The sequence below is a fragment of the Homo sapiens genome, chromosome 3 (assembly GCF_000001405.40).
Source record: "Homo sapiens chromosome 3, GRCh38.p14 Primary Assembly".
Classification (NCBI taxonomy): Eukaryota; Metazoa; Chordata; class Mammalia; order Primates; family Hominidae; genus Homo; species Homo sapiens.
In genome coordinates, this window is record NC_000003.12 from 29867887 (window position 1) to 29891905 (window position 24019).

The window sequence follows — 24019 nt, forward strand, 5'->3', positions numbered from 1 at the left end:
AATATTTGGTTAATTCAAGCAGATAAACTAAGAAATTAACCTTCCCAGCCATATTAATGTATTAAAAAAGTTTGTCAGGCCACTTTGGCTTTCATTTTATTCATTCATTTAAAAATATATTTATTGTGATAACAAGCAGCAATTTTCCAGTCAAGCAGGGATGTGAAGGAGAACATCAGTTCTCAAAGAATAATTTTGCCCTGTTGGGTTTTAAAAGATTGTCATTTTCCAATGTAATTGTTGGAAGAGAAGTTCAGACATCAGTTTTGGTCACTTTCTCTTGGGAAATACATTTACCTGAGTCATGTAGGACCACATCAAGCAATCTGGGACTCACAAGTTATAGCCATATCCTTTGGCTATATTTTTATCATGTGGGTTCACTTAACATTATAATAATTGTTCTCCCTGGGATTCTGACTAGATTTTACTGGAAAATTGGAGTGAAGAGTGTTGGGTGGAGCATCAGCTTCTAGCCATTTAGAAATTACAGGGGACTAATTTTTTAAAAGCTAATTTGATTGCAGTTAGCAAAATGTCTCTCTTTTGAGAAAGAAGCTCCTAATCATCTTTCCAAAATTGAATCCTTCAGTTTCTACAGTGCAAACACGGTTGCTTTGAGGAAGAAATATTTATCCACATATAAATACCGATTATGAACACGTTTCTGACATTACTGGAAGGGTCGGTGCTTGCCTCTTTACTTCTAAAACAAATTCACATTCTGCTTCAACTGATTATTTTTTCAACAATATTTGTTATATTCTTTTATGATCTGCCAGTACTTTTTTGAAGCCCAGTTAGTTAGAACAGCGGCCAACAGAGCTGAGACTAAAAGGGGGCCAAATATCTCTTCAGAAGCAAGATGTTACTTCAAAAGATACTCATTACAAAGCACTACTGTGACTCACATAATCACTTAGTTTTTAAGGGGGAGTTGTTAATGTAGAATTGGTTTCTTATCTTCCCAGCCCCCAGTGAGCCTTTGCTGTGCAAATTCGCTGATGGAGGACAAAAGAAGCGACAGAATCAAAGCAAATATACCCAGAATGGGAGGCCTTGGCCCAGGGAAGGAGAGGTGAGTCCTGACTGATAACATTTGCTCTGAAATTTGGCAGTAGATATCCCTCAGAAGGTGGCAAGGCAGACGTATGGTGCCATGATGAAATTGGGTCCCATGGAACACCCAATGTCTTCAAAGGGGCAAATGAGCAGACCCATGTTAATGTGTTCTAGATGAAATTATTGAGGAGTAGAGGATTTCAAATTTAACCTCAGTTCTGCACTACAGCAAGTCTTCTGTCTTTAACCAAACTCAAACCTGAAAGGAACTCACTGAAATACTTATCTACAAAGAATTGATTTCTATTTGTGTAATAGCTATAAAATGAGGGTATAATTACTTAACAAAATATTTTCAGTGAAATCAATAGGGAAAGTTGAATGTTTGTGTTTTGAAACAGGCAGACAAAATTTGGCTGTTTTTCATTCTGTTATTGAGATGATTTACTTGCACATGTATGTATATTTATGCATATTCCCATATGTTCATAAATGTTTTGATATCTGTTTATATATGTATATACACACACACACACACATATATAAAATAAGATATTGTCTTGGTCAAAAAAGAGGGAGAAAAGTTGATACATACAGCATTTTGCTTTTCACAAGGAGAAGGAAAAGCACTGAACAGCTCACTATCCATTTACCCTCAATACAAACTGGTAAAAAAGCCAGTTTATGGATCCAGTGCCACTTAGGAATGGGTTCTTTTTGTTACTTTTTTGTAAGAAGACAAGGAAAAGGTGACTGAGCTTCCATGAGGTCTTTTCATTATTTGTGAAATGGAATAGAGTTGTTTGAATGACTTGAAAAAATGCTATTTTGTACCAAGGCCATACTTTCAAGAGAAGAGCTTTATTTAGTATTTCATTCAAAGCACCTACTTCATCCATTTATCATTTAAGAAGCATTGTACTTGATGTAGCATTTTACACTTTCAATACTGACAGAACAGTGGTAAAGAAGAAAGGAAGCTGGAATTTTTCTCAGCAAATCCTTTAGCCTTTTTTCAGTTTCTGTTTCTAAGACCATTGTTTGCTTTGAGTGTTTCCATGCAGGTCTCAAAACCCCTCTTAAAGGTTATAGTTATGTTCAAGTACTATATAAACTGTAACTCATTACATTAAGACATGAAAAACAGAATCATCACTGAGCATCAAAAGCTAATAAAAAAGATAAAGAGTTTTAATATTCTCAACTTTAGAAAGGCAGTGGGTATTACGTTCTAAAAAGGAGGTGGAGGGGGTGATCCATGTGTTTTTAGCATGGAGTCCAGTGCATCAGCAGATAACCCTATTGGCCTCAGAAGACAACTGATGCCTGATAGCACTCATTATCACATGTCCCCTACCAAACACCCATTATCTAAAAAGACTCATTTGACATTTTAAAATTTGGTTGGATAAAATGCCTGCTGATTAGAGATATCTTTGGGTCACAGACTATCATCACAAAGCCCCAAGACTCAATTAGCAACTTGGCATTAATGACAGAAGATTCAGTTTCTGTCTCCTTAAGGAACTATAATATTACCTTCATACAATAGATGGCAATTGCAGCAAGACACTTCCTCTCACTGTACATTTCTTGAAAATGGAATCAATAAAGACAAAATGTAGAGAGTTACAGCTGCCACCTGGCTACTGTATATAGAATCTAAGACTTTGCTTCAAAGCATGAAAAATGCTATATGTACTATGATGTGGAAGCACTGTGGAGTTGAGTTTAGGACCCAGAGCACCTTATAATTTAAACGTAGGTTTTAAAGGTATATTCCTAATCTTTGTTTTCAAAAGTTGATTTTTAAGAGCTATAAATTTTCCTGTTGATCTATGAAAATCAAGGGACCATGATAAAATTTATCTGTGACCAATAAAATATATTTCAAATATATATACACATTGAGAGAAGATAGATTAGGCAGAGAGATAGCATGCCCTAGAAATATGCTTATCAAATTTTTTGGTTTGGGGATGCACATATTAATTTGTACACTTTGATTGTGGTCTTAGAAGTAAATACCCAAAGAATGTTGGATAACTGTGTGCCCATCACTTTATATTTTTTGCTTCCATTTCCCCCTTGCATTTTACTTGCTAAAGTATATTAGCAAGTTGATAAAGTTGTCATGATACACATTAATCCTATATAAGCAATATTTAATTAATTTTATATGCCAGGAAATTCTGGTTACTGTATTTGATTCTAAGACACATGTTTTTGTTGTTGCTGTTTTCCACACTTTAAAGCTTCTGAAATTGGTTCTCTTAGACTAAGTGGTATTTTACAAGATAATATGCATTTTCTCCTGTTAATCACTTGAGGGCACTACCTACATTGTCGGGTTAAGGTCTTTGACCACACTGGTTTCATAAATAAAAGCACTAACCAAAGCCAGGATCTGGGTCAGATTCTTAAGGGAGGGTTTTTTGTTTGTTTGTTTGTTTGTTTGACCCCTTCCTTCATTCAGTGTCATGACTGAGACAAGTAACTTTCTTTGGTGTCTGTTTTTAATGTGTAGTTTTGTTTTTCATTTACCATTATACTAAGGTTGGCAAACCAACTTTATAAAGAGATCATTTGGGGTGTTTGTTTTTGCTTGTTTGTTTGTTTTGATATATGAAACAATGGTACACCTTTGAATCCTTTTCTTAGATAAAATGAAAGATGGTAGTTTAGATTATGCTGCTGTGGAATTGAAGATAATAGCACAGACTGAGGCTAATGTTTACTTTTCCTCTCTCCTAAAAGATGAGTAAAAATGGTCATGTGAAAGGGATTTCTGACGAAATTCTTAGGATACAAAACCAATAGATTACAAGTATTTTAGAAGTACCATGCGCATGCCAATTGATAGACTAATTAAAATTTTAATTTACTGTTTAAAGCTGTTTTTTCCTCATGGCATTTTGATAAAAATTTTATTAGCAAAGTTTGGCTAAATGCACTTCTTTATGAAAAAATCTAATACAGAAAACTTCATACACAGAAATTAGTATAAATTAGCAAGATTTTGAAATATAAATATATGCTAGTGGCCATGTTCTACATAAGTGAAAAATGCAGGAATATTTTAAAATTATTAACTAATCTTTCAAGAGACAATTGGAACTCTGAATAAAATGATCGAGGGATGGGGGCTATTAGGCTCTTCTTCCTTGGTGTTCTACAGTTCTTATTGTTTTATTTCCTTAAGTAGCTGTTCTCAAACTCTTGGTCTCTGGATCCCTTTATACTCTTAAAAATTATTACTTACAACAAAATAAATAATAACAGAAATTAACTCATCATGTGCTAATAAAAACAGTATATTTTATTAAAATATATTTTTTAAAACAAAGGCAATTTTTTGAGAAAAGTGGTGGACTTTTCTATTTTTACAAATCGCTTTAATGTCTGGCTCAGTAAAAAATGGCCAGATTTGTGCATGTACTTCAGCATTCTCTCTTTTTCTATACTCTGTCTTGCTTTAAACATGTAGAGAAAAATCTACCTTCATCTAGATAAGTCATTTAAAAAGGGAGAACCCTATAGATCTTCTAATACGATCTTAGGAATTCTTGGTCTTCAGGCCACACTTTGAGAACCACTGTCCTAAAGAAGCTGAAGCCAAGGGCAAGGCTGATGTTCACTTCCATATACTAGAAGGACCATGCAACTTGTTGGTATATTAAAATATATCTTATCATTTGGTAAATAGACACTGCCCCTAGGCCATCAGTGCAACTCCACTTCCCCTTCCTCCCCGGTGCCTCCTCCAGGAGCATCATGATCCAGCAAGAATGGGGTACTGGCTGGCACAGCAGGATTTTTATACATGATGTAAGGGAGGGGTCCAGCTTCAATTTTCTGCATATGGTGAGCCAGTTATCCCAACACCATTTATTGAATAGGGGGTCTTTTCCCCATTGCTTTTGTCAGTTTTGTTGAAGATCAAATAGTCATAGGTATGCAACCTTGTTTCTGGGCTCTCTATTCTGTTCCGTTGGTCTATGTGCCTATGTGTTTTTGTAGCAGCACCATGCTCTTTTGGTTACTATAGCCCCGTGGTATAGTTTGAAGTCAGGTAACATGATGCCTCCAACTTTGTTCTTTCTGCTTAGGATTGCCTTGGCTATTCAGGCTCTTTTTTTGTTCCATATGAATTTTAAAATAGTTTTTTTCTAGTTCTGTGAATAATGTCATTAGTAGTTTGATAGGAATAGCATTGAAATTGCTTTGGGCAGTATGACCATTTTAATGATATTGAGTCTTCCTATCCATGAATATGGGATATTTTTCTATCTGTTTGTGTCTTCTGTGATTTCTTTGCATAGTGTTTTGTAATTCTCATCATAGAGACCTTTCACCTCCCTAGTTAGCTGTATTTCTAGGTATTTTATTCTTTTTGTGGCAATCGTGAATGGGATTGCCTTCCTGATTTGGCTCTCGACTTGGCTGCAGTTGGTCTATAGGAATGCTAGTGATTTTTGTACGTTGATTTTGTATCCTGAAACTCTGCTGAGGTTGTTTATCAGCTGAAGGAGCTTTTGGGCTGAGACTATGGGATTTTTTTAGATGTAGAATCATGTTGTCTGCAAACAGGGATAGTTTGACTTATCTTCCTATTTGGATGCCCTTTATTTCTTTCTCTTGCCTGATTGCTCTGGCTAGGACTTCCAATACTGTGTTGAATAGAAGTGTTGAGAGAGGGCATCCTTGTCTGGTACTGGTTTTTGAGACGAATGCTTCTGGCTTTTGCCCATTCAGTATGATGTTGACTATGGGTTTTTCATAAATGGCTCTTATTATTTTGAGCTATGTTCCTTCAAAACCTTGTTTATTGAGAGTTTTTAAGATGAAGCAATGTTGAAATTTATTGAAATTCTTTTCTGTATCATTTGAGATAATCAAGTGTTTTTTGTCTTTAGTTCTGTTTATGTGATTAATTGCATTTATTAATTGTCATGTGTTGAACCAACCCTGCATGCCAGTGATGAAGCCTACTTGATCATGGCCTTTTTTACAGCATTTGGCTGTCACTAGCTGTTATTAATGCTAATGTAAAGTATGTGCTTTTGGGCATTCTTAGAAGTGAGGGACAGAAGACACACTCCGTAAAATAGCCCCCTTGTCTTTAGTTGAATCTGCTCTTAATGGTGCATCCAGCTCATTAAACATTTGACCAGTCACCAGTCAGCATACTTATAAATATGAAAACTTGACAATGCAGTCTGGGAACACAACATTTCTATTAGCTTTGAAGGCATATGGGGTGCAATTGAATTTTATAATACTGAAGAGTGGAAACTTGACATTTCAGAGACATAGAATTAAACCACTGGAGATAAAAATAAGGAGAAACTGAAGCACAATTCCTAGAAAATAGTATATCTAAAGAATTATTTGGAAAACCTGGTAATACCGTCTAGGCTTAGAATATCTTAGATCATTTTCCAAGGTAAGGGCATCATCTACATAGTTTATCACTATTTTCTTTGTTTATACCACAGTGCTTGGCAATTCGTTGTCCAAATTTTTATGTTTAAGATGACCTTGAAAAAAATTAAGATATGTCTACCAACACTGCCAGGTTCTGCAAATAGTCTTTTTAACCTTAAACTGAAGGAGATTATTTACATATGTGATCTTGAAAAGAGTTTTTGGCCATTATGATGCATGTTAGCACTTGCAAGTTGGTTTTCGTAATTAGCACACCAGATATGGTTGTATTTATTTTATGTGCTTTATCTGCAATTTAGAGAGCAAGCTCAAGGTTAATGGAACTTCTAGTCTTAAAATAAACCTTTTTTTTGGCACAAGAATTTGAATTCTCAATAATTCAGCATGAAAACTTTCTTATTTAGTTAAGTGTTCTATTTTAAAGGTACTAAGCCCAATATTTACTAACCTATGATCACTAAGGATAAAAGGTAAGTCATGTAAATCCCTGTACTAGTGTAAGTTTGGATTAATGTAATTGGTGATGAGCTTCAGTCCTCTGCCTAGCCTATGTTCTCAAGGAATAGGGCAGTATAACATACTTAGGTTCTTAGGGCGGGGTTGGCAGTGGGAAATTTAGGAAGGGCTTAAGGCTGGGAAGATTACAGCAAGTAATTACAAGTGGAAAAGTTGGCAGGAAATATCCATGTACCATGATTGGGTCTCCTGACCCATTCTCCATGGATCAAGACAACTATATGTGGCACCTACCAACTGGGAGATTTCTGGAGTTGTTGGTAGTGTCCTGGCCATCCCAGCCTGCCACAAGATTCAGAATTACCCCCACTAATGTTTAAGCAACAGTTTACAACCTCCAGGTAACATCAAACTATAACTGGAACCTGAAAGAATATGGGTCAATTAGCCAAATTCCTGGAACTCTCCTCTATCTAGCTGCCCAGGCTCATCTTAGTAGCAATCTCAAAGTTGTATATTTTTCATCCTACTTAACCATGTTATGGTGGGGTTTAACAGTATAGGTACTACATCATTGACTATAAGACACCATTGATTAAAGATGAAATATTACTTTAAACACCACTAATAAAAGAAAAGGAACTTGACATACTATAAAATGCTATCAATTATCATTTAAATCCCAATTTCACAGATATTAAAATGTGAAAAAAAAAACCTGCATCTTGGAATCTATGAAATTCAGCCATTTAAATTGAGATAAAAACAGATGAACCTACATAAAATATGGTAACACTGTTTTGTCTTTTTTATGGTATCAATTAAGGATTAATTTAACTTTGGTTTTAATGACAAACTCAGATTAAAACTTTTTTTTCCAAGATTTTGAGATCTTTAGATAGCTATATTATATTATACTTTTCTTCTGCTTCTCGTTTAGCCTAGCATTTTCTGTGCCATAGTCTTTCTCAGGCTTCCAGTCTTAGTTCTGATGGCATCTTTCTATCTTGTCCTTCTTTATTGCCATATAGGGAAAAATTCTGCCTGATAGCACTACGTTAGCAAAAGCCAAAAAGAAGAAAGACTGTGACGATATAGTGCATGTAAATAACAATATTAAGACCCCTTTGATGTTCTTTTCTCAAACATAAAGAAGTTAATTTTCTCTGTTCTCTGACCATTTAGCTACATTTAAAGGATAAATCCCCTGCATGTTATTGGCTTGATTTTTGAAAAACTTCTTGAAGCTGTCAAAAGGACTTTTAATAGTTTTTCTCTTATCCTGATTCTAGGCCAGTAATTTCATGAAGAAGGGCCTCCAGGTTTTCAGCTTATTCTAATTCCTCCTAGGTTCCTGCCTGTAATTTGGTTTGAGCCCACATCATCAGGAAGGTCTCTTAGCAATCTCAGTAATAAGCTTGCTTCCCTCTATCTCTTTGACCAATCAAAGGCTAAAAAAAATTATCTTTAGAAGTTCAGCTAAGTCAAGCTGCAGCTTTTCCAAAGTAAATTTTACTAACAAAATAGGAAAAAAAAAGCTTCAAAATATTTTCAAATAAAAATTAAAAGTTCAAATTCAAACATTTCTTTAGGTGAATTATTCATGTATTAATTCATTTAGCTAACATTTATAGAGCCTCTGCAATGTCCCAAACACTGGGCTAGAAAGAGGCGATATCAAGATGAGCATGACTAGCTGGGAGACACACATGGCAAAGCATGGTCATATTAGCTTCCACCATGGGTCATGGGAGGAGGACAAAGGCAATAGTTAATGCCTTCAGTGGCACCTGGAGAAAGAGCTGGCTTTAAGAGGCTATGACATCTTATCTGAGGCTGAAAGAATAGAATAGAAATATTCCCACAGAAAGTAATGGAGAATTTCCAGCCAAAAACCACCCCTGCGAAGGCCCAGGGGTAATGCTCCAGGGCAAGGCGAGTGTATGTCTGAGTTTGGTAAAGGGTGAAGTCTAGAGGTGAAAAAAAAAAGATGTGGAGACCAACAGGTACAAAGGCACTTGATCATGAGATTTCTATGGGCCAGATTTTATCTTAAGGTAACAGGATGCTGCTGAAAGGAGGACCATAATGTGGTCAGATTTGCCTCTCACAAGAGCAATCCTCATAACACAATGGTGTGACTGATGGATTGGAAAGAGGTTTTGAGCAAATATAGGAGAAGATATTATACCAACATATACTCATAAACACCGAAACAAGAGATGATAACTTGTAAGAAGGCAGTAATCATGCATTGAACTTACTAGTTAAACTTGATGATATGTGTCTGGAATTCAGGATACAAACTTGACTTTGAGACAAACATTTGGGAATCACCAGGAAATAAATAATAGTTGGGATAAGAAAGTGAATGTCACCACTGTATTGCAGTAAAGGAGAGAGATAAAACCCTGGCCCCCTGAGCACTCTGGCATCTCATAGGCAGTTGGGTCAAGTAACACTAAAGAAGAAATTGCTTTCTGAGAGGTCAGAACAAAAATAAGGGGAGAGGATCACAGAAACCAAAGAAGAAAAATACACTGGTCAAATGATGCAAATGAATGTAATTATTATTTGGAATCAAAGTATTCCTTGGATTCAGAAATTATGAAAATTTAAAGAGTATAGTGAGGACCATTTCACAGGTTGCTTGCAGCCTTTTGTAGAACCATTAGCCCAGATTTTACTGTCTTATCTCAGACTGCATAGACCTTGGGAATTTCCCTATTTATGATCTTATTTGTAGTTCATCTTCTCTTCAAGAGAGCAAATAACTGCACAGTAGCCTAAGGAGCATCCCTTTAGCAGGTGAGAGCAGATAACTACTGTACAGGGTTGACTGCCTCTCCTGGTAGAAACAAACCATTCAGTAGTCTCCTGACTGTGCCGGAGTTGTTCCCCGGTAAAATTCTACCACTTGACTCTTATGAAGGTCAGAAGGTGATCTGCTCATATCCCCTTTCAGCAAGTGAACTAATAAATTGCCCTCAGTTTTGCTCTAGGCATATTTTTTCCGAGAATAGTTTCTCCCTTGACAGGAAGAAGGTTAAAAACTCTTTCTCTGGCCAAAATATTGGCTTAATGTTGGCCATCTAGTACCGTGGTCCTCATCATTCTTGGCATTAGGAACTGGTTTTGTAGAAGATAAGTTTTCCGTTGACAGGGGTGTTGGGGAGGGGGTTGGTTTCAGGGTGAAGCTCTTCCACCTCAGATCGTCAGGCATTAGTTAGATTCTCAAAAGGAGTGTGCAACCTAGATCCCTGTAATGTGCAGTTCACAATAGGGTTCCCAATCCAATGAGAATCGAATGCCCCTCTGAAATGACAGGAAGCGGATCTCAGGCGGTAGTGCTCGCTTGCCTGCTGCTCACCTCCTGCTGTGCAGCCCGGTTCCTAACAGGCCATGGATGGCTACTGGTTTGCGGCCCCAGGGTTGGAGACCCCTGATCTAGTAGGTTTCTGATCATTGATGATTTTTATTGGTTTCTCTGAATATCTTAGTTATATACACTTTTAGTATCACATAGGAGACCCTCAATTTCTCAGCCAGGGTGTAGCCATTTGAATTTCTGAATTCTTAGTGGTTTCCACTACTAGAAACACTATATCATTTCCCCTGAATTTTCTTTCTTTATTACTGACCTCCTGCCCATTCTCACCTTGACCCTTCTGGTTGTAGCAATCCCATTCTGTCCTACTTTTGTATTCTACTGACCCAGCAAAGCTAAATGCACCCTGACATTTTCAAGCTTACTTCTGAATCAGGCCTCTGACCTACATTACTTTCATAAATGATATGCCCTTTTTTCCCTCTTAAAAATTTTAAGACAAGTCATAGAAGACATAATATGCTTTATAAATTAAAGGATCCCCTCACCCCACATTATGGAAATAGTATTACAAAGAACTTTTAAAACTCAAAAGTCATGCCTGTAATTCCAGTGCTTTGGGAGGCAAAAGCAGGAGGATCACTTGAGGCCAGGAGTTTGAAAACAACTTGGGTAACACAGTGAGACCCCATCTCTACAAAAAAAAATTTAAATAAAATTAGCTGGGCTTAATGGTGCACACCAGTAGTCCCAGCTACTGAGGAGGCTGAGGCAGGAGGATTGCTAGAGCCCAGGAGTTTGAAGTTACAGTGAGCTATACTGTACTCCAACCTGGGCAACAGAGTGAGAACCTGTGTCTAAAATATTTAAAGTAAAAATAAAAATAAGTCAAAACAATGCATGAAAGGCAAAAAAAAAAGTTATTGTTATACTACGCCAGTATTTTAACATTTTGTTGAAATTCATTTTTAGTTTTATTTCCAGTCAGAGATATTTAAAATATTTGCTTTCAACACATATTGTACACATAATTTTGTATCGTGACTTGTTCACTAAAGGTTTCTAAGTAGAAATACTAGCAAATAAATATGAGCAAAGTTAAGTGAAATTTTACTTCAGTAGCAGTACCTAGATGTTTATGTCATCATAATTTTAAGCCCCTTTTTATACATAATTTTTAATTAACTTATTTTTTATTGAATTTTTAATCTTAACAAGTGAACAGTTGTAAATATTGTTAAAATTGGCTGCAAGAAATAAACACTTTAAATATAACATCCAGAAAACAATATTATATTTGTGTGTATTAGCTTCTTGGACTCAACTTGTGCTAATTCAGTATACAATATTTAATAAAATATTCAACATTTTCTATACATTTATTAAAGTGTTGTTTTAATTATGATTGTAGAAGACTATAAATCTTTATAATTATTTGTTTGTAATTTACCCAATTATGTATCAGGCCAGACCTCAAGAAAAGGAGAAATATTAGGCTAAAATATCAATGTTTTATTTGTCCAGGAACTTCAGTCTGTATCAGTTTGTATAAATTTTGCTGCCCCCAATTTTTTGATCCCCATTTATCTTGCAGTCTAAAAATACTTTCAACAATGGTTAAAAAAAAAAAATAATTCAGGCCATCATCATTTTGGCTTTGTTACAGTCAATGATTCTCTGCTCCTCAACTAAGACCAAGCATTGCAGTCTAGGTAATCTTTCTGAAGTAGCAATGCCTGGTTCCTAATGTGTACTCTTTAAGCAGTATTTCCACAATTATTACCTCTTGATATAATGTAATCATTTACAGTTAAGAATATCAAATAACTATCTCCTAAGTCAACTGATTTGTCTCAATGAATTTATTAAAAATAAAGATGCATTTGTTAATAATAAAAATCCCCTAATTATTCCAATATACCATTGAAAATCTTTTCTTCTAAAATATTTAGCTCCTATAGTAAAAATCCTGTCTGGAAGATCTAAAGTGTCCTATTTTGGCTGAAATACTAAATTAAAACTTAACTGTTGTTGAAAAATGACAAAAATACCCCACTTTATTTTAAATAAACTATGAATGTCTCTATTACACAAACAATGGAAACCTGAAAAATGGAAAATATTTCTGAATCTAATAACTCCTTTTTGAAAATAAGTGACAATTAAACATCACTTTTCTACATACATGGTGTGACATTTTCATTTTGTTCCAAGGTATTTTACTTTTTGTGTGATTCTTGAGTTTGTAAACATGCCATAATATTTAGTGATTGTATAATGATGATTTCATGGTCCTAGCTTAGTATAAAGGTAGCTCAACAGAGCAGCAAAATCAATTTCCTTTTTTCCTTTGTGGAAAGAGACAAAAGGAAATTGAATGCAAAGTTTGCATTAAGACCATATTAGAATTATGACTCAACAATCTATTACACATGAAGTGGAAACCAGGTGTATCCAAGTGTTAGTTATTGTGCTATTATATTCAGCCAATGGGTTAAGTTCAAACAACCCTTTGCTTAACCCATGCCATGTTGTTACCCACAATGTTCCAAATGCATATGACCTGACACTATCTCTTGTTGTCTCCTCTTGCCAAAGGTACTCAGAGGCAGGACTGTCCCTAGGCAAAATCGTGAAGTAGGTGAATCTTGTATTCATTCCCGACCCTTTTGCAATGAAAATCTCACCTTAGATTCTCTCCACCTCCCTCTCCCAAGGTACCTACTCTAGTTACTCATTCCTCTGGATTTACCCTCTGTTTTCCAGGGAGCTCATGCTAACTCCTGTTCCCCAATCACTCTTTAAGTATATAATGTCCCCGCTCTGAAATACTCAGTAGCTCCCCCAAGAGGAGCTGGGCAATCAAGATCCTCCATCCTTACCTTTTGAGTCTTATTTCCCACTCTCCCCTTTACATGTTCTACTGAAAACAGCTCACTCACCTTTCCATTTTTATTTACACACCTTTTTCCATAGTACTCCTTTTTGCCTGAGCTGGCCTTGACCTCTCATCTCCATCTGTGGAAATTCTCCTCATCTTTCAGGGCTCTGCTCAGCTGTACTTCCCTACATGCCTTATCTGATCACCCCCAGCCTCTCTCATCTGCACCCCATCCATACCACTCATATGGCACTTAACACATATTGCTTTGTATTATAATATTTATGTATGTGTCTTGTCTCCAGGCACTGTGCTGGGCGCTTTACAAACGTAATCTCTTTTAAATTTCACAACAATCTGATGAGGTAGGTATTATTAAACCATTTAAAAATTGAGGAAACTCAGGCTCAAATAGGTTAAATAATTTGCCCAAAGTCACACTGCTACAAAGTAACAGAGCTAGAACTTGAACTCAGGTCTGTCTTATTTCAAAACATGATTTCCACTGTACCCTACTGATGTCAATTCCTTTCCATCTTCTGAAAGATAGGATGGGGGTTTAAGATGAAGAAGGAGGTCAACATAGATTTTTTCCTTAACAAATGTGTGTTGAAGAAAGACAGTTTATTGATAATTACTGTATTCCTAGCTAGAATTGATTGGTTAGCTAGAATCTATGAGGAATTCAAGTAAAATGCAAGAAAAAATTCTTAAGTGGCCAGAACAAACAAGCATGGCATAAAAAGAATGTTCAAGACAGTTTGTAATTCAGGAGGGGCTAGATAGCATTGGTCTCTTTGAGCACCGTAGGAAAATAAGTACAAGGAAAAAGAAATAAATGTGCAGTTGACTAGGGAAGGCTTCCTATAAGTCCCCAGGACTTAAACAATTTGAGATAATTAGTAGACTGAATATATGACTATCATCCTAAATCTCTCATGCACTAATAATATCTCGATTGAATGTAAAGCCCACCTGTTTTATTCTGCCTGCAGTGCCGCATCTTGGATAAATTAGGGGAGAGAAGCTTAGTGTTCCTAAGAGGGAAATCTAATTCCAAATGGACAGCTTTTACGACTGCCCTTTCCTGTGCCTGAGACCAGAGAGTTTCAGCTAAGTCCTAGACAGCTCCATTCTGTGTTCAGCCTAAGGCCAACCTCCAGCCAGTCATGTGGCAGAGCCTTCATCCTGGGAAGAATTTAAACTTAGAATCTTTGTTCATCTTGACACCACTATCTTCTTGCCTCTCCCATGGCAAAAAAACAAAAACCTTTTTTCTTTTCTGCTGTCGTATTCTATTCTCATTTCTCAGTCCCCCAGCTTGTCATATTATCAGTTGCATATTTCTTTAACATGAATGAGATTCATAAATTTAAAGAGGTCATGCAGTTATCATTAAACATGTGTTCTCAGTGCACCTCTGTTAACTTCTGACAGTCATTTCAATTCTGTTTGCAAACTCCGTTTCAATTTATGTATGCTCCCTTTATACCAATTCCATTCACATGTGACTCTACACTTTTGTTCCTCATACCAATCTTCATAATAATTTAAAATTTAGTATTTATGGAAATACTGCATGCAATCTAAGCTTGAAAGCAGCAGGCTATACTGTACATCAGGCCCTCTGTTAGAAGATTGAGAATTTTCATGTCAATTATAAGCTAAATTTGAGGATTTCAATGAGCCCAACAAGAAAACCATCCTCAACCACAATGGAAAAATAAAAAAACTCAAACAGGCAAGGTATTTTGTTTTCTTTAAAATGTCTATGGTTTCTTATCCTTTACAAAACTCTTCATAGCTCATCCACTTTTTTTCTAACTTTTTATTTTGAAGAATTTATAGACTCACAGGAAGTTACAAAATAAATGTACAGTGATGTCCTGTTTACCTTTTACTAAGTTTCTCCCAATTGTTATATTTTAAGTAATTATAGTACACTATCAAAGCCAGGACATTGATGTTGATCTAATTCAGTTTTAAATTCGAAAAAAGAAAAAAAAATCTACCCTAAAGATAACTTACTTGAACAGTTTTAAATTCCATTCAACATTGTAAGCATTGTAAGTATTAACCATGCTGACAGTCCTGGTAAACAAAGGATGGTATGCCCATATGGCCACAGAGAAACTTTCCCCATATTGTTGGATATTGATACTCAGGTCTAATTTAATTCTTGGGCCAATGTCATAGCTGAGGAATGGAAAGGAGCCCATATCAGAAGACTTGGGTTGAAATCTGGTTCTGCCTCCAAATGTGTGACCTTGAGCAAGTCACTTGACCTTTCCAAGCTTCAGTGTCTTCATCTATAAAATGGAGAAAATACTCCTCCTGCCTACTTCATAGGATTGTTGTGAGGATCAAATGTGATGATGTACATGAAGGAACAAGGTAGACTGTGAATCAGCACTCATGAAGTTTATATTCTTTTCAGAAACTATATCCAGTTATAGAGAAGTGTACTTTTTCAGAGGTGGTCTTATTCCTAAAAACAAAACATAACTACCTCCTTATTAGCCATGTGTTCTAGAATTTTCTTCATATGTAAATGACCTCCCCTTTCTATCACTCTTGTTAAGATAAGAAATAGCAATATATCAAACAAGCACTCTGGACTCATTACCTACAAACCCCTTAGGCATATGGTCTATTTTTAAATAAATACTTTTTTAAACATTTTCTTCTTTAAGATTGAATGCATTTTTAGTAGCTTTTATTTTTATCCTAACTGCAGGATTCGTTCTTACTTTTTTATCATGCCATGAGATGTACAATAGGTGTTCTTGACAATAGTGTGAAATTATAACAATGTGAGGTTAGACAGTGGATGTTTTAAGAAGTAAAAATGGAAATCATCCAAGCTGCATTGTTTCTTGGTATGTCTGAATATATAATATAAACTCCCAACTCACTGGTATATTCTGGTTTGTGGATAGTAAAAATGCTAGTCTTGGCAGTAAGCATAGAGATATACATAGGAGAAAATAAACTTAGATCATGGAAAGTAATGATAAGAGTCTTTGTGTGTACTAAATGTTTTGGGCACCACAATAAAAACGTTAAGATTTGTTTTCTTCCCTCTTCATCCTATATACAGGCTGGCATGGCTTTGACCTATGACCCCACAGCTGCCATACAGAATGGGTAAGTAGATCACATTTTCTCTATTTTAATTGTGAATAGATCTTTGAGCTCTGAATCAACATCAAAGAAAAATGTTAAAATTTGTTTTGCTTTTGTTTTACATCCTTAAACACAAAGTTTAAACCAAGCATTTTTCATCATTATAGTTTTTTTCATCCTATAAATTATTCTGACCTCCCATTCTCACAATGCCTCTGCCCACATTAAACCCTGTTCTCTCTCTCTCTCTCTCTCTCTCTCTCTCTCTCTCTCTCTCTCTCTCCCCCCCCGCTCCCTCCCTCCCTCCCTCTTTCTCTGTCTTTGGAGAACAGGTAAAGCTAGGCTGAGAGAATAATAACTCTAGAGTTAGCTTTCAAACACTTTTTGGTGTGTGCCCAAGTCAATTTATTCTTTCTTTCTGGTGATCAGGGGAATGGTAATGGAGGAAAGTCAAGTTGGTAACTCAGGTGATTGCATCTTCATTTTCATAAGCATCTGGAAATTTGTATCCACCTACTTAGAACAAGTCATATAGCTTAAACTTCCTCCTCTGAAAAACAAGTGTGAAACTACATGGTGTGGCAACTCTAAAATTCTGTGACTTCTAAATATCTTTCATTGAAACTTTCTTCTTACTTCCTAATGTCTTTGCTTAGGCTGTCTTGTAATTGACAATAATTATTCTTTGGTTGGTTGCTTATTTCCTGTCACTGTCTTTTATTTTGGAATTCTCCAAGGCTTTCAGTTGTCTGTCTTTCAGTCTCATTATAAAAGCCTCATTGAAGATCAACATAGAGGGTAGAATGAATTAAACTTCATTTTCTATTTTGTCAGTTGCCTCTAAAGAAAATCTGTGGGATATTGAAAGTATTTAAATAATTACCTCTTATTCTTATATTATTCATTCAGGCAGTCATATAGTCAGTCATTCAACAAACATCCAGTAAGTATCCCAGGCACAATGCTATGTTCTATAGATTTAAAAAAACAATGTATGATATGAGACCCTTTCCTTCAAGAGGCTCACAATCTACTCGTCCATGAAAAAGTAAACATTAATGGTAGACTAGGGTAGGAGTATAGTCCTTTGTCCTTGGGTTGATTAAAATTTCCCTCTAGAAGTGAAAATTAAGGATATCTTTTCATATATCCAATAGGCATTTACTTATTTCCAACAAAATTCTATAAACTGGGTGTGTAGAAAGAAGTAAAGATATGGAGAAGAAAGTCCTCTAGAATTATATTACGTAGTTGGAGATAAATAATTAACTCACAAAGGAAAAAATAAGGCATTATATATTAAGTGATAGTGACTGAAAATAGATGTTATAATGGAAAGGAATGACATTTATTGAACACATATTTTGTGCAAAGTACTTTGTAATTTAGTGGCACATGGTTTCAAATGAATACATGTGATTACAATTATAAATTTATATTGGAAATTTATACAAAGGAAAATAGAAACAATAGTTCAAAAAATACCTGTATGTCCAGTAATTGGATTCAATAAATATTCATATTTTATAATATTTTACATGCATGCATATGTATGCACATGTGTGTAATATATACATATGTATCTACCTATCTAGAGTATGTATTATGTATGTATATACATATCTACCTGTCTATAGTATTTATCTATGTATCTACTTGTGAAAAGTACCTTGTTGCCCAAGGCTCTATGCCAAGGATTGGGGATGCAGCAGTGACCCAGACATAACTTGTTTTTGCATTTATGAAACTTACATTGTTAAGGATAGAAATAAAATAAAAATTAGCTTTTATATATAATTATGTAGTCAATTATTAAAATTGTGTTTAGCATTTTTAATTAAAAAGATAGTTTTTGCTGGACCATATCAAAGTAAAATTTAAACATCATAATATTTCTAACTTCTTACATCTTCGAAAATAAAGACATTAGTCACATGATAAAAATGTCATCACAAAAAATAAAATCAGTAGTAATTTCAAAATATCATCTACTATCCAGATTATTTTTCAACTTTGCTCAGTTGCCCCAAAATGTATTTTACAGCTGGATGATTCCGAAGCAAAATCAAAAAGTCATATCAAAATAGCTTATATGGATTATTTCATTTATTTATTATATTCTTTTGGGTGAGTGTTAATATCCCATTTACAGATAAGAAAATGAGGCCATGTAGTCCGAGGTAGAGCTGGGAATCGAATGCCAGTCTGTAACACTAAATAGAGCCTGCTGTCTTTGTCCAGCTAGGACAAAGGGAAGGCTATATGGAAGCAATGAGATTTGGCATAGATTATCCAGGATGACTTAGTTTATCAAGGATAGACATAGGGAAAGATGCTTATGGAGAAAGTGGACTGCTATGAATGGAAGTGGAATTTGTAGAGATTAACAAGCCAACAAGTTTTACTGGGGTGAAAGTTTCTTGTGAAGGAATTTTATAAGTTTAAAAAGTTTTTTTGTTGTCAGATTTGGAAGTTCAAGTATTTGGTTTTTACTTCATAAGCCTGGGGAGTAATTATTATTTTTTTTTTTAGCAACAGAGTGGTGTAATATAAATAATGAAGACTATATTGGAGCAGGAAAATCCTCTTAGTAGGAAGCATCATTAAGAGGATATTAAAATAGTACAGTTATAGAAGTGTGAGAGTTTGTTCTGGAGTGGCCAATGTATGAATGGAAGAAAGAAACCAAAAGGAGAGACAACCTGAAGAAACTTTTCAATCATGCATTAAGCAAGTGGCCATCAAAGAATCCTACATTCAGGGTTCTCCATCAAGGGCTGGGGACATACTGGTGAATAAGACACACCCAGTCTTTACTCATCTACATAGTAGCAAAGGAAATCAACATTAAAAGTATTTTATTACTTATATACCATAAGCACCCATTGGTGAACTGCAGGGTGTTATGAATTGTCTAGTCTTGCTTGAGTGGTTAAAACTTCTCTAAACAAGCGATTCCTTGAGCTGAGCTCTGACAACATGTAATGACCGACCGAAACTGGATGTTATATTTGATGGCAAAAGAGAGAAACAAAAGTGACCCTGTACCATCAGCAGAAAGACAAGGAAATAAAGTGAAGAAAGATGATGATATGGTTAGGCTTTGTGTCCCCACCCAAATCTCATCTCTAATTGTCATCCTCATAATCCCCATGTGTCAAGAGAGAAACCAGGTGGAGGTAATAGAATCATGAGGGTGGTTTCCCCCATGCTATTCTCATGATAGTGAGTTCTCACAAGATCTGATGGTTTTATAAGAGGCTCATCCCCCTTTGCTTGGCACTGATTCCTTCCTGCTGCCTTGTGGAGAAGGTATCTTGCTTCCCCTTCACCTTCTGCCATGACTGTACATTTCCTGAGGCCTCCCCAACCGTGCTGAACTGTGAGTCAATTAAACCTCTATTCCTTTATAAATTACCCAGTTTCAGGCAGTTCTTTATAGTGGTATGAAAACAGACTAATGTAGATGATATGCTCAATTTCAAACATGCCTGATTAATGTCTCACTAAGACTCACTAAGTCTCACTAAAACAAACTAAGACTCATTAAGACAAAAAAAGATCAAGAGTCAGTGGTAAATGTGGAACTGAAGTTAGGGAATGATAACTTGTTATGCATGATTTTAATCAGTCATTCTCTAATGCGCAATTTAAAATTCTACAAAGACATAATTTCCCAAATACTCACCCTTAATTGTTACAAATCGACATAGAAAATAAATCGAGGTTTCAACTGCTAATCTGAGAAATCAAAGGTGAACTTTGGGCAGTGCAATTTTCAAGGCAGTGAGGACAGCCTAGAACACAGTGAGCATTTCTCTTTTTTTCTCAAAATCTCCACCTCATATTTCAGGTTACCACTCCTGGACCCTATTGGAGTTGCTGCAGGTACATCCGTTAACCTTAAATCACCTGAAATATGAAATGTCTTTATTTATACCTTATATTAACAATATAACATTGTATCCTTTAAACTATTTGAACAGTTGCAAAAATGGTTCACCCTCTGCCACTACCCACTTAGACATTTACAACAATGAATATTTTCCTCAAGAAACACATTTTAGTTAAGAAGCTAAAGATATCCAAATCAAGAGATTTTATATACTATTATATTATCTCATATTATATTATCTAATCTCATATCTCTAATATCATGTAATAAATAATTTTAGTCCATTGAAATTGGGCATATTATCTTTCCTCACTTTATTTTCTTGTCTTGCTGCTAATGGTAGCACCAGTCCCTCTCTTCAGTACTTCCTGTGCACCAAATAATCCTACCCACTTTTACTAATCTTACTCTGGTCTTTTCTCACTTTCTTTCTTCTCTCTAGTTGCTCTCGTCTACCTCTCTTGCTTTCTGGAAAGTAAGACTCCCAAGTCTATACTTCAAGTGTGTAACTAGCTTCAGAGATCAATGACCTGTGGTTCTAGCTTACTAGGTACTGCTACTATGTCATTGTCCCAAACTGAGGTCATTATCCTCATCAATATTTTGTAATACAAACTACACAAATTCAAACAAAACGCACATATCAAATTTTGTTTTCCTCTGTTTTAAATTCTCTAAATCCATTTAGGTTATGATCTCCACTCCTCAGGACTCTTTCTTATCCTACATTCTTCACAATAAAACTAGTCATTAAGATGTGCAATCTGTATCCGATGTATATCTTCAACCTAGCCCTTCCTCCGTGCCACTGGTTGAATTTATTCATTACCATTTCCTACCTACACTAAGCTTTTTACTCCCTTTAATATACCTCCCCCCACGAACAATTTTCACATTAATTTTTGAATAATTTTTAAGCAAATGTAACTACAGAAATCACCTACCTACCTGGTTTAAAGTATTACGTGGCCTTTACTAACTACAGAACAACACTCAAACTTCCCCAGATAGTACGAACAGAACTTCATAATTTGGTTACTGCAACTGAACTGGACCGTCTGTGATTCTTGGAACATCCCATGCTACTTTGTACTTCTGTGTCTTGTTGAACGTGGAATTCTGTCTGCCTGAGTTCCCATATGGTAAAACTCACTCCCCATGGCCCCACCACCACACACATACACATGCACACACACCATATAGATATGGGTATCAGTAACTACGTAATAATATACTTTTTAAAAATATTGTTTTCATTTCAAGAACATCATTAAATCATACCAGGCAGAGCTAGTTATGCTATTAGTCATAAGAAAAACAGTTTAAGCAATGGTTAAGAGTGAAAACTTCAGAATCATCCTGCCCAGGGATGCATCCAAACTCTGTCATTTACCAGATGTGCAATTATGGACCCATTGTCCATACTTTAGTTTCTTCCTCTGTGAAATAAAGATAATAATATCAGTACCTTTCATAAGACTTTGTAAAGATTAAAGGAACCTGGTGTGGTACAAGATAATCATCAGTGTAAATGTTGACATTATTGTTGCCCTATGTTTGGCCTTTCCATGATAAGTTTGACAATTAGTCTTTTTTATTGTGTACTTCTTGATACCCATATCTATAATAGTTCCCTGCTAGAATATAACTCAATGAAGACAGGCACCATATCTTATTCATTTTCATAGACTGTTTAACCCAGTATTGTGAATGCTAAATCAGGACTAGGAAATGTGACAGATGACATCTGCTTGGCTCCAGCAAGTTGACATCAGGGAAACCATCCTCCTCCCCAGCCATCAAGTCAGTCTGTCCCCATGTAACATCTTAACCTAATTCTCCTAAAATATTACCTCTAGTTTCACCCAAAGCAGCCAAACTACCCATGAGTTTCTCTGTCCTGAGTGAAAGATGGAATTTTGGAAGGCTTGGACTATGCATTGTGTTGTTGGCAACAAGGAGATAGAAATTTTACATTCAGAAATTAAAGAAATAGGAGGATTATAGCTAATTGATCTTATTTATTTGATACTTCTTTATAGAAATTATGTTTAAACTGTTTTGCTTATCTTTGGTTTCATTACCTTTATATGGTAACATTCCCAGTAGTAGGACACCAGTAGAACAACCATTTCTATGCATGTGAGATGTCACACAAATATATACTGTTTCTTGAGTTAACATTGGGACATGCCTTTTAGAGGTGTGGAAGCTGATTTAAACAACTTACTCAACATACCAAGGAGCCTAACATAAGTGTCCATAATAAAGTATATTATTCCTCATTCGCATTGCTCTATGCAATTTAGCCGTCAAATATAACTCAGAGATAAGTAACCTAACAGAAAGATAAATATTACTGTAGAGAAGAGCCTGGTCCCATTTTACATAGAACACAGGGTATCCAAAGATGTAGTTGCAGCTTACTCCAATCCAGTTATTATTGTTCAACGTTGCTTAATGCTGATTCACTTGAGGTCAATAAGCTTAACAATTTTTTTCAACTTTCTATCTATAGTACAGTCTAAAATTAGAAAAAAGAAAATGCTCACGTCATATTAGGAACAATGGACATATATACAATTGTAATAGGAGATAGAATACAAAACTATTGCGATTAAACCACAAAGTACTATAAGATATATGTATATATTAACTTTTATATGTATAAAATGTTTCTGAAGGAGTACACAAGAAAGCATGATGGTGATTCTCTGGGAAGGGCCAACACAGTAGTGGGAAATAGGGTGAGACGGAAACTTATCTTTCACCGTTTACGTTTTTATTTATTTTTTTTTCAAAAAGAAAAATAAAGCAAATTATTTCCATAGGACCGTGGAGGAGAGGCAGTTGTGTTCTGATGAGGAATTGGGAAGGCTTCTTGCTAGTGCAGTGACATGAGCTTTTCCTCTTGGAGAGGTGCCACATCCTAGCTAAATGACATATTTTGTGATCCTATGGAATCCTGTAACAGTAAACTAAGCCATAGGGCTTTTTTAGTATCTTAAGCAAGTATGTGTCTGAGTTGTAGCTAGTAGGTTAAATTGTGTAAAGAGTTAAACGGTCTGTATCTCATAACCTTCACATTAATACAGAAACATGACACTGAAATAAAGGCCCCCGAAGTTAGCTTGATTGTTAGCTAAGGAAGAACAAACAGTTCATAACTACACCATGGTGAATCTGTGCTGTTTGCATTTAGGCAGTAGAAAATGTCAGTTCTGTCATCTGCCTGAATCTATCCAAGTTATCACTTAAAAATTAGATCAATATCACTTTTCTCTAGGACTCTGAAGGGTAGAGAGAAGAAGCATCTGTGTCACAACAGAAAAGTAAAAATCGTAGTACTTTTTACTGTAGGCTAACTTACAAGAATAAAAATGTCCATTCTCTTAGAGCTATGTGGTAAAACTCTAATTTGTTTTTACTATTGCCCTATTGCTCTTTTAGCAATCCAATATGAAATTCCATCCCTTTGAAAGATGAGCAGGGGAGGTGGGAAATATTCCCTCCCATATTCAAAATCTCATCTTTCCTGTGCCCTTTTCATTGGGAGTTGCTGTATAAAAGCCTCTTGGATTGTTTTTATTTGAATAAAATATATTCTTGGGGGAGACGTGAAAAAGAATGTTTTCTATAGCATTGGTTTGCTGGCTGCTTTATGTGGGCATTTGGTATTAAGCAATATGGAAACCTTATCTTATTACACTAGGAAAGGAATCTAATGTGAAGGATACGTTGGTATTACAATAAAAATGACCAATACCTTATTAATCTTGTACTATTGTTTTACCCTGAGGATAGTATTTATGGTTCCAGCCCT

General features: G+C 35.5%; 1 protein-coding gene across 15 annotated transcripts in view, besides 1 other annotated feature; it reads left to right on the forward strand.

Moving 5' to 3' along the window:
• The window catches only part of RBMS3 (RNA binding motif single stranded interacting protein 3), a 729325-nt gene that overhangs the window by 586816 nt on the left and 118490 nt on the right, over positions 1 to 24019 (forward strand). For 14 of the 15 annotated variants that reach the window (XM_005265061.3, XM_017006180.2, XM_017006179.2 and 11 more), the window contains 2 exons: positions 972 to 1078; positions 16276 to 16322. In XM_005265061.3, coding sequence (XP_005265118.1) covers positions 972 to 1078; positions 16276 to 16322 — 154 coding nt within the window. Of the gene's footprint in view, positions 1 to 971; positions 1079 to 12892; positions 12932 to 16275; positions 16323 to 24019 lie in introns of all 15 variants that reach the window. The other variant, NM_001177712.2, reaches the window with a different exon arrangement.
• Positions 658 to 1221: an enhancer, noted in NCBI's record as "NANOG hESC enhancer chr3:29910035-29910598 (GRCh37/hg19 assembly coordinates)". NCBI's record gives its function as "activates a minimal SCP1, AML or CMV promoter by ChIP-STARR-seq in naive H9 embryonic stem cells {active_cell/tissue: H9 hESC(naive)}" and the evidence as "EXISTENCE:reporter gene assay evidence [ECO:0000049][PMID:30033119]".